Source organism: Homo sapiens, chromosome 18 (assembly GCF_000001405.40).
Source record: "Homo sapiens chromosome 18, GRCh38.p14 Primary Assembly".
In the NCBI taxonomy this organism is placed as follows: Eukaryota; Metazoa; Chordata; class Mammalia; order Primates; family Hominidae; genus Homo; species Homo sapiens.
Genome location: NC_000018.10, coordinates 13,823,353 through 13,837,412, shown reverse-complemented (window position 1 = coordinate 13,837,412; position 14,060 = coordinate 13,823,353). Strand labels below are relative to the sequence as shown.

The 14,060-nt window shown below is 47.3% G+C and overlaps 1 protein-coding gene across 1 annotated transcript, besides 4 other annotated features; it reads right to left on the bottom strand.

The window, feature by feature from the left end:
- Window positions 1,960-2,460: an enhancer, noted in NCBI's record as "H3K4me1 hESC enhancer chr18:13834952-13835452 (GRCh37/hg19 assembly coordinates)". NCBI's record gives its function as "activates a minimal SCP1, AML or CMV promoter by ChIP-STARR-seq in primed H9 embryonic stem cells {active_cell/tissue: H9 hESC(primed)}" and the evidence as "EXISTENCE:reporter gene assay evidence [ECO:0000049][PMID:30033119]".
- MC5R (melanocortin 5 receptor) lies at window positions 10,090-13,264 on the bottom strand. The gene is made up of 2 exons (NM_005913.3): window positions 13,139-13,264; window positions 10,090-11,686 (listed from the first exon to the last, which is right to left on the bottom strand). Exon 2 carries the CDS (start codon window positions 11,645-11,647, stop codon window positions 10,670-10,672), a length of 978 nt encoding a protein of 325 aa, NP_005904.1. The 5' UTR covers window positions 11,648-11,686; window positions 13,139-13,264; the 3' UTR covers window positions 10,090-10,669.
- Window positions 13,060-13,149: a silencer, noted in NCBI's record as "silent region_9336". NCBI's record gives its function as "represses an Ori minimal core promoter by ATAC-STARR-seq in GM12878 lymphoblastoid cells {active_cell/tissue: GM12878}" and the evidence as "EXISTENCE:reporter gene assay evidence [ECO:0000049][PMID:35858748]".
- Window positions 13,160-13,449: a silencer, noted in NCBI's record as "silent region_9335". NCBI's record gives its function as "represses an Ori minimal core promoter by ATAC-STARR-seq in GM12878 lymphoblastoid cells {active_cell/tissue: GM12878}" and the evidence as "EXISTENCE:reporter gene assay evidence [ECO:0000049][PMID:35858748]".
- Window positions 13,415-13,595: a silencer, noted in NCBI's record as "fragment chr18:13823817-13823997 (GRCh37/hg19 assembly coordinates)". NCBI's record gives its function as "represses an EF-1alpha promoter that drives an FKBP-Casp9 reporter gene in an ReSE screen in both phorbol 12-myristate 13-acetate-treated (for megakaryocytic differentiation) and untreated K562 erythroleukemia cells {active_cell/tissue: K562 | K562(+PMA)}" and the evidence as "EXISTENCE:reporter gene assay evidence [ECO:0000049][PMID:32094911]".

Genomic DNA, 14,060 nt, shown 5'->3' with positions numbered 1-14,060 from the left:
GGGCCAGGGAGTTCCTGGGAACGTGCTGTTTTCATTACTGATATTCCCGAGGGCTTCTCTTTGGGGTTGAAGGAGTAGGAGGAACTGTGCCTTCTTAAGAATGTGAGAGGGCCGGGCGCGGTGGCTCACGCCTGTAATACCAGCACTTTGGGAGGCCGAGGCGGGCGGATCACGAGGTCAGGAGATCGAGACCATCCTGGCTAACACGGTGAAACCCCGTCTTTACTAAAAATACAACAACAAAAAATTAGCCGGGTGTGGTGGCGGGCGCCAACAGTCCCAGCTACTCGGGAGGCTGAGGCAGGAGAATGGTGTGAATCCGGGAGGCGGAGCTTGCCAGTGAGCCGAGATCGTGCCACTGCTCTCCAGCCTGGGTGACAGAGCGAGACTCCCTCTCAAAAAAAAAAAAAAAGAACGTGAGAGAAAGAGGACACTGAGGTGAGGGGAAGACGGGAAGACAAAGCGCGGCGTCTGCCCGTGTCCGGAGCCCTGCGCTGAGTTCTCACTGAGAGCAGGACTGGAGGGCGGATCCTAGGAGCACTGTTTCCATGGCTCCCTAGAAAGAGGCCAGGCACAAGAAGGGCAGGACAGAGCCCAGGGCGGGGAGTCTGCCCGCTTCCGTAGCAGCCCCAGGCACGCGGCTCTGGAAGCTTGTCCACAGATCTAGCTGTCGCTCCTCGCCCTGCAGTCGCTCCTCGTGCAGCCTTATCCTGTGACTGCGGGCACTGCCCGTGCTGTGCCCTTCTCTTGCGCAACTGCCTGTCTGATATCTACACAGAATTTCCCCATCTCCGGAGACGCCCTGCCTGCGGCTCTAGTCAGAAATCAGGCTGTCTTGATTTCTTTCTACCCCTTACTTTCCACATTCTACCCCCAGACTGGACACCTCCAGTCTCTGCCCCCTTCACAGCCACCCAGGCCAGCATCCCTCTTGCCCAAGGAACCGAAACACTATCTGGATGCCTCCTGACACCGGCTGAACTCTCACAGCCACCCCAGAGCCAGAGATGTTTCTTTTTTTTTTTTTTTTAATTATACTCTAAGTTTTAGGGTACATGTGCACAACATGCAGGTTAGTTACATATGTATACATGTGCCATGCTGGTGCGCTGCACCCACTAACGTGTCATCTAGCATTAGGTATATCTCCCAATGCTATCCCTCCCCCCTCCCCCGACCCCACCACAGTCCCCAGAGTGTGATATTCCCCTTCCTGTGTCCATGTGATCTCATTGTTCAATTCCCACCTATGAGTGAGAATATGCGGTGTTTGGTTTTTTGTTCTTGCCATAGTTTACTGAGAATGATGGTTTCCAATTTCATCCATGTCCCTACAAAGGACATGAACTCATCATTTTTTATGGCTGCATAGTATTCCATGGTGTATTATGTGCCACATTTTCTTAATCCAGTCTATCATTGTTGGACATTTGGGTTGGTTCCAAGTCTTTGCTATTGTGAATAGTGCCGCAATAAACATACGTGTGCATGTGTCTTTATAGCAGCATGATTTATATAAACTCTTGTCGTGTTATTCACTTCCTGGTGGAAAACCCCTTGATAAGCTCCTATTACCCTTAGGAGGAAATAGAACCTCTTTAAAATGGGGACTGTGCATCTACTACCCATCTGTCTCGGTTTCAGCCCCATGGACTCTCCTTTCGTCTCCGCATTCTTTCTTCTGGTGTCCAAACTCTTCCATCATGAATCTTTATCAGTAGATAATTTTCTGTGTATTTTTACCAGTCATATATTTTGAGTACGTATTTACCAATTATATACACATCTTATTGCTGATTTTATTTTTAAATCAGTAAAGCATAGCTATTTAGATAATATTTCCTTCTGTAACTCCAGGGATTCATCTTGCACAGCCGTGGGCCGGGTGCTCACTTTGTGGGGACTTCTGCTGTGGCCACGTGCAGTCCCTCCAGACCAGGAGTCCCCATCCCCCCAGCCACAGACCAGACCAATTAGGAACCAAGCCGCACAGCAGGAGGTGAGCAGAGGCAAGCAAGCATTACTGCGTGAGCCCTGCCTCCTGTCAGATCAGCCTCCTCAACATTAGATTCTCATAGGAGCGTGAACCCTACTGTGAACTGCACATGTGAGGGATCTAGGTTATGTGTTCCTTATGAGAATCAAATGCCTGATGATCCATCACCATCTCCCATCACCCCCAGATAGGACCATCTAGTTGCAGGAAAACAAGCTCAGGGCTCCCACTGATTCTACATTATGGTGAGTTGTATAATTATTTCATTACATATTACAATGTAATAATAATAGAAATAAAGTGCACAATGAACGTAATGCACTTGAATCATCCCAAAACCATCCCACCTCCCAACCCCAGTCCTGTCCATGGAAAAATTGTCTTTCACAAAACAGGTTCCCGGTTCCCAAAAGACTGGGGACTGCTGCTCTAGACCTCTGCACCCACTCTTTCTCCTGCCCGGGGTCTTTCCTCACCCTCACCTGGGTGACTCCTACTCACAGAGGAATTTGGATGTTTATTAAGCCGACAGGCAGTAAAAAGCCAGTACTTAGAGGAAACAAGCCAATATGGGCTCAGTAATTAGAGCTCTATTCGTGGTTTTCAGGCAGGTGTTAGATTTGCTAGTACCAAATGCCAAAACATACAGTTACAAATCTCTGACTGTGACTTCAGTCCTAATCTCGGAATCTGTGTTTTCTCGGAAGTATAGCAGCGTGAGAAATCAGTGAGACATCCGCTCATTTGCCATTTGTTAACCCAAGGCTAAATGAAGTAGAAGGAGCCTGTGTTCCCAAACCTTACTCAACATTCATAAGGCTTAATTAAACTGACATTCAGACAGGGGTCAGAAAACGCAGGATTAATATTTGGATTGCTTCCAGTCTTTTGCTGTTACAGTCTGTGCTGTATGAGCAACCATTTACATATGTAGTTTCACCTCTGTGCTACTACATTTGTAGGATGAATTCCCATAAGTGAAATGCTGGGTCCAACGGCATGTGCATTGATCAATTTTATGGCTACAGATGTTGCCATATTTTGCATTTTAGTAATTGTACCAACTTACACTTCTCCCAGCAACAGAGAAGTGGGCCAAGCTCCCTACAGCCTCATCAGCAGTGTGTTAACAAACCTTTGGATTGTTGACTTCTGATAGCTGAAAATGGTATCACAAAGTAATCTGGACTTGCATCTTTCTATAAGAAATGTCGTGGATCCGTGCTTGGTATAAAATTAAACTCACCAGAAACTTGAAACAAAAAAACAAAAACAAATGTCGTAAATCTTTTCATATGCTTGAGAATTATTTGCATCAAATGCCTATGGACTGTTTCTTCAAATCATTTATTTAAATAACAAATAACTCTTCCAGTTCCACTTCTTTGCTCCAGTTTAACGCAGGCATGGACCCTTTCAGGGAAGAAGCTGCATCTTACTTCCTGCTATGCTCCTAATATCAGTACTCAATAATTACTTGCTGAATAAATAAACGATTGTGGGCCCTGGAAGACAGTGTCATCCCAAAAAACTGGCATTAATGCAGAAACTTCAAAAAACTACTGAGAGGATATTTTGACGATGTTCTAGCCATCTGTAAGGAGTATTGCACCCAGGGCCATCAAGGAAAGACTTGGAAAGATGCCTCAGCCACAGTGCCTCCAGCTGCAGCCCCTGCATAGTGGGTTTTATGAAGGACCCTCCTCCTATCACTCATGTCTGGTGGGGAGGAGCTGGGGAGACAATCCCAGAAGAAGGGGTTGGAGTAAGCACAGCACCAGCCTCCCCCACATGCTGAGGAGGAACCACTATTTAGAGGCCATGCCATCTAATGTAGCAATCCTGAACAGCTAGCCATGAGGGAGCCACACTATCAGCTTCTGGAGGAAGCTGGATCTAGACCAGAATTTTTACAGCCACCCCTGGCATCTGCTCTTACCAGTCACTTTTATCTGGAACCTCAGCTGCCTGTCACCTCTCATCCCGTCTCTACCCTGCCCCTCCAACACACACGTGTGCACACAAACATGCACACGCACACACACACACACACGGCAGGGGATGGAAGGCTATGCAGTCAGAGTCCTGATGAAGGAATCAAACTGGGCCCATGCAGACAGCAGCAGGAACCCAAAGAGAGCATAGAAATCCATGGACTCAACAAAGAAATGGGGCAACTTCTGAAACCCCTAAATTTGAATTAAAAGACAACTACAAATTAGGAGTAGAAGCTTAGACAAGTTCTTTAATCTCTATAAGCATCAGTCTCCTTAGGGAGGCATTAGGCATAGTAATATTTATCAATTTTTGTTTTGGTTTTTTGTTTGTTTTTGTTTTGAGACAGTCTCGCTCTTGTTGCCCAGGCTGGAGTACAATGGCATGATCTCAGCTCACTGCAACCTCCATCTCCCGTGTTCAAGCATTTCTCCTGCCTCAGCCTCCCAGGTAGCTAGGACTATAGGCGCCCACCACCACGCCTGGCTAATTTTTTGTATTTTTAGTAGAGACGGTGTTTCACAATGTTGGCCAGACTGGTCTCAAACTCCTGACCACAGGTGATCCACCCGCCTCAGCCTCCCAAAGTGCTGGGATTACAGGCATGAGCCACTGCACCTGGCCATATTTATCTATTTTTAATATGGTTAGAGGATTAAATGAGATAATGCTTTCAAAACCTTGCAATTTGCACTCAAAAAATTTTTTGAATAGCTTTTTTTTTTTTTTCCCGGGACAGGGTCTTGTTCCATCACCAAAGCTGGAGCAGCCTCGACTTCTCAGGCTCAGGTGATCCTCCCACTTCAGCCTCCCAAGTACCTGAGATTACAGGCACACGCCTCCATGCCCAGTAATTATTTTATTTTTTGTAGAGGTGAGGGTCCCACTGTGTTGCCCAAGCTGGTCTCGAACTCCTGGCCTCAAGCGATCTGCCCGCCTCTGCCTCCCAGAGTGCCAAGTTTACAGGAGTGAGCCACCATGCCCGGACTTAAGCAGTTTTTAAGCACTGAGGCCTTGGAAAGAATTCTCACCTGGGGTTGTTTTAACTCATTAACTGGCTGGTCAGAGGGTTAGTGGAAGACACAAAAATTTTGAGGTAAGTTTACCACCACCTGCTGGCAAAAAAGAGTTTGACCATTAACTTTAAAGGGACCAGTCTGCGCCGAACAGATGAGTGGACGTCTCCTGACAGGGACTCTGAGATGTGGCGCTGCCTACCTGTGTTCTCTGTTCTGGGTTATGATCTCCATTTGAAGTCACCGATTGCTTTGCTCTCTCTAGTTATGTATGGTCCAGGACAAGAAGAAAGACTGATCAAGGAGCCAGGGTGAGGCACGACTCCTTCCCCTTGTTGACATTGGCAAAGGCTCCCGTCCCGGGCATGACTGTGCTTCTAAATAGAGCCAGCTTAGAGCTAGGCCTGGGTCCTGGGTGGTCTCCTGCTTTTCTGCTTTGCCTACAGGATGGATCTTGCTAGCCCCAACCATCTTCTAAAAATGTACTGAAAGGATTCCTCACTCCTCATTGCAGATTATACCTCTACCTCCACTCCTTTCTGAAAATCCACAGAAATGACAGTAAAAAGTTTATATAAAGGAAAACTAATTTATAAAAGTTCTGAGAACAGAAGAGGAGACAACAGAGGACTAAACTTGGGAAGAATTTTAGAAGCTGGAGTGCGGGTGGGGTGGATTGACAGAAAAACAGACTAAAGGAAGCCCCAGCCCAAGGCACACAAGAGAGAACCAGGGAGGGAGCCGTCAGGGTCAGCAGTTGAGAGCCAGGATGGAAGGATATGAAACAATTGAGGGGACCCACAGAAGGAGCACATGCAGAACTGTGGCATGGCCGTTCCACACCGATCTCCCCAGGGTGCCCTCAGAGTGAATGCAAAATCATACCCCCAAAGCACCCAGGAGGATGCCTAGGGGGAGCTGCATTCCCAGCATGAAGAACCGATCCCCATAGTAAATTCTCTCTCATTTTAGCTCAGACAGGCTAATAGAACAGGCTATTCTATTAGCAGACAGGGTGCAGCTAGACACCCTTCACGTAACCTCTGCCACCAGATGGGCTCCACACACCACCACAGAGCTGCACAACCAGCTGTTTTCATCCAGCAGAGCTGCACGGACCCATGCAAGTACTAAATCAATCAAGCCCACTCCTTCGTGGACAATCCAGGTTCACCCAGCAGCTGAGGGAAATGAGCCTTACCCATGAGAAGGAGCATGATAAACAGGACAATTGACTTTGGAGGAAACAAATGATTCAAGTCAGATGACAGAGTTTTAAAAAATCTAATGACAGTCTTCAGAAAAAATAGACAAGATATGGGTCTATGAATGCAGGAACAGCTTGCTATAAAAAGAAGGCAAGGAAAGGATAAATAGAAAGTCACAGAAATTAAAAATATAGTTACCAAATTAAAATTCAATAGAAGAGGTGGGGGAAAAGACAAAGTTGAAGAAGTCTTTCAGAACACATAAAAAAAAGACAAGAGAGGAAGCAGGTAGTACGAGAAAGATTCAGGGACATGGAAGATGGATGCCGATGGACCCATGTTTGACTAATACGAGTCATGAAAAGAGAAAAAGAGAAATGGAAAAAGAAAAAAAATTAATCAAAGAAATAAGAGGAGATGATTTCCCAGGATGATGAAGAACACCTGTGATGAAAAGCTGCCATTCCTGACTGCCTCTCCTGTTCTAACCTGTAATTCAGCTATTATGGCTGGAGCTCCAGCAGCCCTTTTGGGCCATGAATTGACCTTAAACAATGATAGAAGCCAGGCATGGTGGTACACATAGTCCCAGCTACTCAGGAGGCTGAGGCAAGAGGACCACTTGAGTTCAAGACTAGCCTGGGCAACACAGCAAGACCTCATCTCTTTTTTTAAAAAAAGATAGAAGTCTGGATTCTTTATTGTGCCTTTGAGCTCCATTCTAGCCTTGAAATCCTTACCTCCCAACTTCTTCTCTGTAAAAGAGAAATAAACTTTCATCTTGGCCACGTCACTGGATTTCTGCAGGTTTTCTGTTACGTGTAACAAACCAGCTTCTAACTCTGTGCTGTCCAATATGGTAGTCATTAGCCACATGCAGTTATTTAAATATAAATTAACTAAAATTAAATTAAATTAAAATTCAAGGACTGGGTGCGGTGGCTCATGCCTGTAATCCCAGCACTTTGGGAGGCCATGGTGGGCAGATCACGAGGTCAGGAGATCGAGACCATCCTGGCTAACACAGTGAAACCCCATCTCTATTAAAAATAGAAAAAAAAAATTAGCCAGGCATGGTGGCGGGCACCTGTAGTCCCGGCTACTTGGGAGGCTGAGGCAGGAGAATGGCGTGAACCCAGGAGGTGGAGCTTGCAGTGAGCCAAGATAGCACCACTGCACTCCAGCCTGGGCGACAGAGTGAGACTTTGTCTCAAAAAGAAAAAAAAAAAAATTCAGGTCCTCAGTCACACTGGCCACATTTTAAAAGCTCAACTGCCACATGTAGCTAGTGGCTACTATAGTGGACAAAGCAGAGACAAAACATTCCCATCATCGTGGAAGGTTCTGTTGGACAGCACTGCCCTGACACAAATCCCTTCTCACAAAGATGCTTGTGTTCTGGCAAAGGACATAAAAACAATCTACTCTCCGGAGTACCCAGCAGAATGTGTGCCATTGTGAGGTATAATTATGGAGGTCAAAAGGGCCTCCTAGAAGAAAGGCATCTGGGATGAACGTTAAGATTCATATGGGTATAGACGGTGTGCCCTGAAGATTGTGCAGCTTCAACACAATCTGGAAGCAGAAAAACACAAGACATGCTCAGAGTCATCTAATTTTATTGATGTGTAGGATCTGGAAATCTGTCATGTCTTGAAATAACTAATGTCCTATAAACTCACTGATGGCAGAGATTCTCTAATGGCCACTGCTTCTAGCCCCACTGTGAGCACATGCTAGGTGATATCCCTAAAATGCTTGCTCACTAAGACACAGACTTTTGCACAGTATATAAGGTCAAGTGTGCAATTTTATTTTATTTGTAGGTGTTATATCATTTTGGTCTGAGACATGGCCATCCTACAGGCAATAAATATTGTCAAGGAGACTTCACCACAAGTCACCAACGAATGTGCCTTCTCATTTTGCAGTAGCTGCTAACGAATTGGCAGAAAGACCAAAACCATTCTGGATATCAGAATGACCAGTTCAAACAGGTGGTCTGCTCCTTCCATTTTATTAACCATTTCCTTGAACACACGTTTTTACATCAAACAAATTTCCTACAGAAGCAGATATTTAACATACCATATCATACAATATTTGACAGTTATATATATTCTTTTTGGGGGAGACACTTTGTGTTGGGTGCTAAGGGTTGGCTCATTTATGTACAGATATTTACCAAGTCACTACACACATGTATTCCTTCCAAATGAAGACACATCTAAATACTAGGGTTATTTCTGCACTATTTATAAAGATTAAAAGGCATTTGAGCATTTCCATAAAGACCTTTTTATGAAAGGTCAGATCTTGTAGCAACTCATGAAGCACCAGAGCAGAAAATTAGCCTAAAGAGAATTGGGTTCCTAGACGGGGCCAGTGTCAACCACAGGGTTGAAGTTTCTGCCCATAGGATTGGAACTCATTTAGTACTCAGGTCTAGCAGGCAGAAGAGTCAATACACATTTGTTTTGCAACAATAACAAGCATTCCTGGTGCACCTGCTCCATGCCTGAAGCTGCTGTAGGACATGGGGCCACCGAGATGCGTGGGGCAGAAGAGAGGCCAGCTTTCACAGAAGCCAGGCTCCTGAGACACATCCCACGGGAACAATGCACTGTGGTTCCCCATGGTGGTTACACGGGACCACTTACTGCCCATTCGTGGATACACACATGAATTTTCAGCAAAAAGGAACAGGAAACATTTGAAAAGATAGCTGCCCCTTCAAAACTCAGTTGCCAACAGCCTGCTAATTTGCCAGTTTTCAAATGATTTGGATGTCTTATGCACACTCCTGTTCATGCCAGCACCGTTTCTTTCCTGGACTCTGCATTTCCAGGGGCAGGGGTCAAGTGCATAAGTTATTGATATGGCTACACCCAGGAAGCCCCTCTGTCCTGGCAGGCCTCAACAGGAAGGGTCCCTCTTCTGCACTAGCAGCTCACTGTTGTGTGACCCAATGGTCCTCTGCTTTATATACATTTTTTTCATTGGGTGCAGTCTAGATGTGAATGTCCAATACAAAGCAGAAAATAGGAATCATACCAAAAGTTATTACAAGAGTGGACTGTGAGAGCTGCAAGGACTCCAGCCCTTTGCTTCAGAGAAGGACCACACAAGCCTCCTGGTGTCCAGGCCACTGCTCTGACCATTGGCCCCCGTGTCCTTCCTTAGTATTTACCCCATCTAGTCATTTCTTTTTCTTTTTCTTTTTCTTTCTTTTTTTTTTTGAGACAGAGTCTTGAATGGTTGCCCAGGCTGGAGTGCAATGGTGCAATCTTGGCTCACTGCAACCTCTGGCTCACACCTCTAATCCGAGCATTTCTTTAAAATAAAAAGCAAACCCTATAGTGCTTTACAAATTTACAAGAAGCTCACACAATTTTGCAGTTCTCATGGCCATCGTGTACAGTCAGCACAGATGTGGAACCTGAAATAAGATGATTCACGCCACACAGCAGTGAAAGGCAGAATTAGCACCTGAACTCGGGTTTCTCTGCTCCAGTCTAGGTTGGGAGAAGATGGGGCTCCCTGGGCTATAGGTTGGGCCCTGACCTTTGTTGGCTGCTGAAATGAGATTGACATGCCTCCAAGTACACAGGCCAGAGTTCAGACTCCAACACAGATCCGGTGTGAGCCACTCAAAGCAAGCCTGGCTGTGGACGTGTGCTACTTGCAGCACTGGGCACCTTGAACTCCTTGAGCCCCTGTAATGCCCCCAGTCATCCTTTTGGAAACCCCAGATTGAGCCCAAATAAGACAGTAAGAAAGAGTCACAGAGTCTTCCACAGCACATGAGGCAGGGTTTCTAGCATAAGGTTTTATGTCTGGGTAAGCGCAACACCATGATTGACAGAAGTACAATTATTCAGACAATTATGAACAAAAGCCATGAATCAAAAGTTCAGGCAAGGGGAGCAAAGAAGACATTTCAGAACAAATGAACAGATTGCTTCTGATGGAAAGAATCTGGCCACTCTTTTCTTCCCTGAAAAGCATGCATAGCTCAGAGTGCAGCCAGCAGAGTGTGGACCTGCTTCTGGGGAGAAGAAGCAATCCCACCTGGCGTCGATATCACGGTTTTCTTCGCGTCACAATACGTGTTTCATCATGTCTGGCTTGCACTGAGGGTGCTGTGCATTCCCCGAGCACATGCCTGCTAGGTGGAGGGTGGATGGGGCCCCCAGAAATGGGTGGGAGCAGTAGAAACCATAGGACACAAAAGGACAGTAAGAAATTGTCATGACTGTCCCCAGAGTGGATAAGCAACCCTTGCATGTTGGACATAATCACCAGGAACTGAACAGAGAGAGCCTCTTAGGCCCATGTCTGAGCTGGTAAAGAGAAAAATGGGATGCTAGCACTCCCGCCTACCCCTTGGCTGTCGCTTTGTCATAGGTGAGCAAACAAAGGAGAACAGAGCCACAGAGAGGAGCACTTTGTGCTTAATCCCTTCTGGGAAAGCTGCAGGCGATCCTGAAACCACGGCAGCAAATAATCTCCTTAAAGGTCTTCCGCATCTCTTGGCTGCGGAAGGCATATATGAGAGGGTCCATCACGGAATTACACATGATGAGTATGAGGTACATATTGAAGTGAGACATGAAGCGAGAGCAGTAGAGGTTCTGAGGGCAAGAAAGCATTAAAGTGAGATGAAGGAAGAACGGGGCCCAGCACACGGTAAACACGCCCAGCAGCATGGTGACGGTGACCGCGCCCTGCATGCTGGTCCTCTGCCGCGCAGAGCTGGCCCCGGGCAGAGCCGCGATCCGCTTGACGTGAGTCCGCGCCAGGAGGAACATGTGTATGTACAGAGACACCAGGAGGAACAGCATAGCGAAGAACATGGAGATGAGGCACAGGATGACGTAGGTGGATTCTGAGTACAGGATGAAGACAATGCCGCAGCCCGTGCAGAAAGCCCAGATGCCGGCGATGATGGCCCCTGAGCGCCTCGCCGTCATGATGTGGTGGTAGCGCAGGGCGTAGAAGATGGTGACGTACCTATCCACTGCAATGGCCAGTAAGCTGCACATGGATGCCACCACGGAAATGCAGATCATGGAGTCAAACACATTGTCAATGTGGCGCACAAAGGCGTCTGCTATCACTAGGTGCTTGTTGTTGAGTAGGTAGATGGTGATGGTCTCCCAGGCACTGGACATGCTCACCAGCATGTCCGCCACTGCCAGGCTGCACACGAAGAAGTACATGGGGGAGTGCAGGTTTTTGTTCTTCACTATGGCCCCTATGACCAAGATGTTCTCCAAGAGGCTGATGACACCCAGAGTGAGAAACACCTCCACAGCAATGCCCATGTCTTCACATGGTGAAGACTTGTTTTTGACATTGGGTCCTGAAAGGTTGCCCTCTGTGGCATTCAGGTTGAGATCCAAGAAATGCAGGTGAAATGAGGAATTCATTGCTGGAGAAATACACCTCTTGTCTTGGCAGCAAATTTACTGTAAAACATGTTTTAAATTCACAATCCAAAGAGGTTAGCAGCCTACCAAAGAAAGACAGCAGCTAGCCTAGAACCAACACAGCCTAAGAAAGGGGATGAATGACACAGTGCATCAGAGGACTGGGCTCGGCTCACTCAGTCCTTTTTTTTTTTTTTTTTTAAGAGACAGGGTCTCCCTATGTTGCCCAGTCTGGTCTCAAACTCCTGGCCACAAGCGATCTTCTCTCTCAGCCTCCCAAAGTGCTGGTACTACAGGGGTGAGCCACGTGCCCGGCAGCTGGCTTGCACATTCTGACCTGCGTTCCTGAGACCTGGAAGAGTGCCCCTGGACACGCAGATTAGAATCTTCACCAGCCTCTTCTGCTCTCCTTGCTTTCAGCTCCCAGCCTTTCACATGCATCTTACTAGAGAGACACTCACCTCCAAGTGCCCAGGACAGTTTCACTTTTTATGGCTTCTCTCCTGGGCTCAAGTTCACTATCATAAGTGTCCCCAACTCATAACCTACAAAATCCCAGCCAGTCTCCCAATGTTCACATTCCTAAGGCTACTGCACGACATTCTCCTCAAGGGAGCTCCGATTTAAGACTGCCCAGACCCGTATTCCCTTAAGACAGACAGACAGGTGCATCCCTAACACTTGTCCTGACACTTCTTAGACCCATCAGGATTCAGCCTCCACAGCTGTAAGTAAGGCTATAACCAGAATGGTCTGTTACCCTGAGCAAAGTCACATGTTAAAAGCTACTGTCTTAAGTTTGTAAGTGTAGGCTGCACATACGTGTTAAAATTGAGGAAAACAGTGCTGCTTTTCCCTCAATACCTATTTTTCCCTCGCTTCTGCATTATGTGGAATTCCATGAGGTCTGCTTGATAGTTTATTAGGTCCGCGTGAGCACAGTATTTAAAAAAAAAAACAGCAATTTAAATGTACCACACTCCTTTGTTGCAAAATTTCTCTCTTATGATTCATTTTCAAAAATCCCTTTGCCCTCCAAACTCAGATCACATCTGGAGAGAATTTCTGTCATCACTGTCATCATTAATATTTGTAATCACTTTGGGAGGGAGGGAGGGGGTGAGGGACAACAAATTACTTAATAGGTACAATGTACACTATAGGGGTGATGGCTACACTAAAAGCCCAGTCTCCACCACTATGCAATACATCCATATAACAAAACAGCACCTGTACCCCCTAAATCTATAAAAATAAAAAAGGAAAAAATTGGTAATCTAAGCATTTATTGAACTACAATCATTTGTTACAGCTGAGTTCCAGCTCAGATATATCGGTAAATTATGCAATTATACTAAACATCATATCGAGCTGTGTTAAAAACTCACGGGGCAAGCTAGCTGCCGCCCCGCTCACTTCCACATGCAGCGGAAGCGCGATTTTGCATTTATTCTCAGGATCTCAAGGAGATAGAAAGTTGTGGCTATTTACCGGTGCTCCTCCTCGCGGGCCGCGGCGCTCAGCCCGGGCCCCCGGCGTCCCCGGGATCCGACGGCCGTGCGGCGCTCAGAGCCAGCCCCGGACGGGCCTCTCCCCCAGCTAGGCGGCTGCGGCTCTGCGGGGCTTTAAGCCTCCTGCCTGCCCGCGCCGGGCCCGCCTCCGCACCGCCGGCTGTCGCTCCGGGCGGCCTCCGCTGCCACCTAGTGGCCCAGCACGGCACAGCGGCCAGAGAACCGCGTCAGCCCCGAGCGAAAATCCCCCCGAACACACTCTTGAATGGTTGGATGGTTGCTTGGTTGGTTGGTTGGTCGGTCGGGTCGGTGGGTCGGTCGGTCGGTCGGTCGGTCGGTTGAATGGTTGGTTGGGTGAGTGGTTGCTTGGTTGGGTAGTTGGTTGGTTGAGTGGGTGGGTGGGTGGTTGCTTGTTTGGTGATTGGTTGGTTGGGTGAGCAGGTGGTTGCTTGCTTGGTTGGTTGGGTGGTTACGGGTTAGTTAGTTGGGTAGGTGGGTGGTTGCCTGATTGGTTGATTGGTTGATTGGTTAGGTGAGTGGATGGTTACTTGGTTGCTTGGCTGGTTGGGTGGGGGGTTCGTTGATTGGGTAGGTGGGTGGTTCCTTGGTTGGTTGATTGGTTGGTTGGGTAGGTGGGTGGTTGCTTGGTTGGTTGATTGGTTGGTTGGGTAGGTGGGTGGTTGCTTGGTTGAGTGAGTAGATGGTTACTTGGTTGCTTGCTCGCTTGCTCGCTTGCTTGGGTGGGTGGGGGGTAGTTGGTTGGGTAGGTGGGTGGTTGCTTGGTTCGTTGATTGGTTGCTTGGGTGGGTGGGTGGTTGGTTGGGTGAGTGGATGGTTGCTTGGTTGGTTGATTGGGTAAGTGGGGGTTGGTTGGGTAGGTGGGTGGTTGCTTGGTTGGTTGG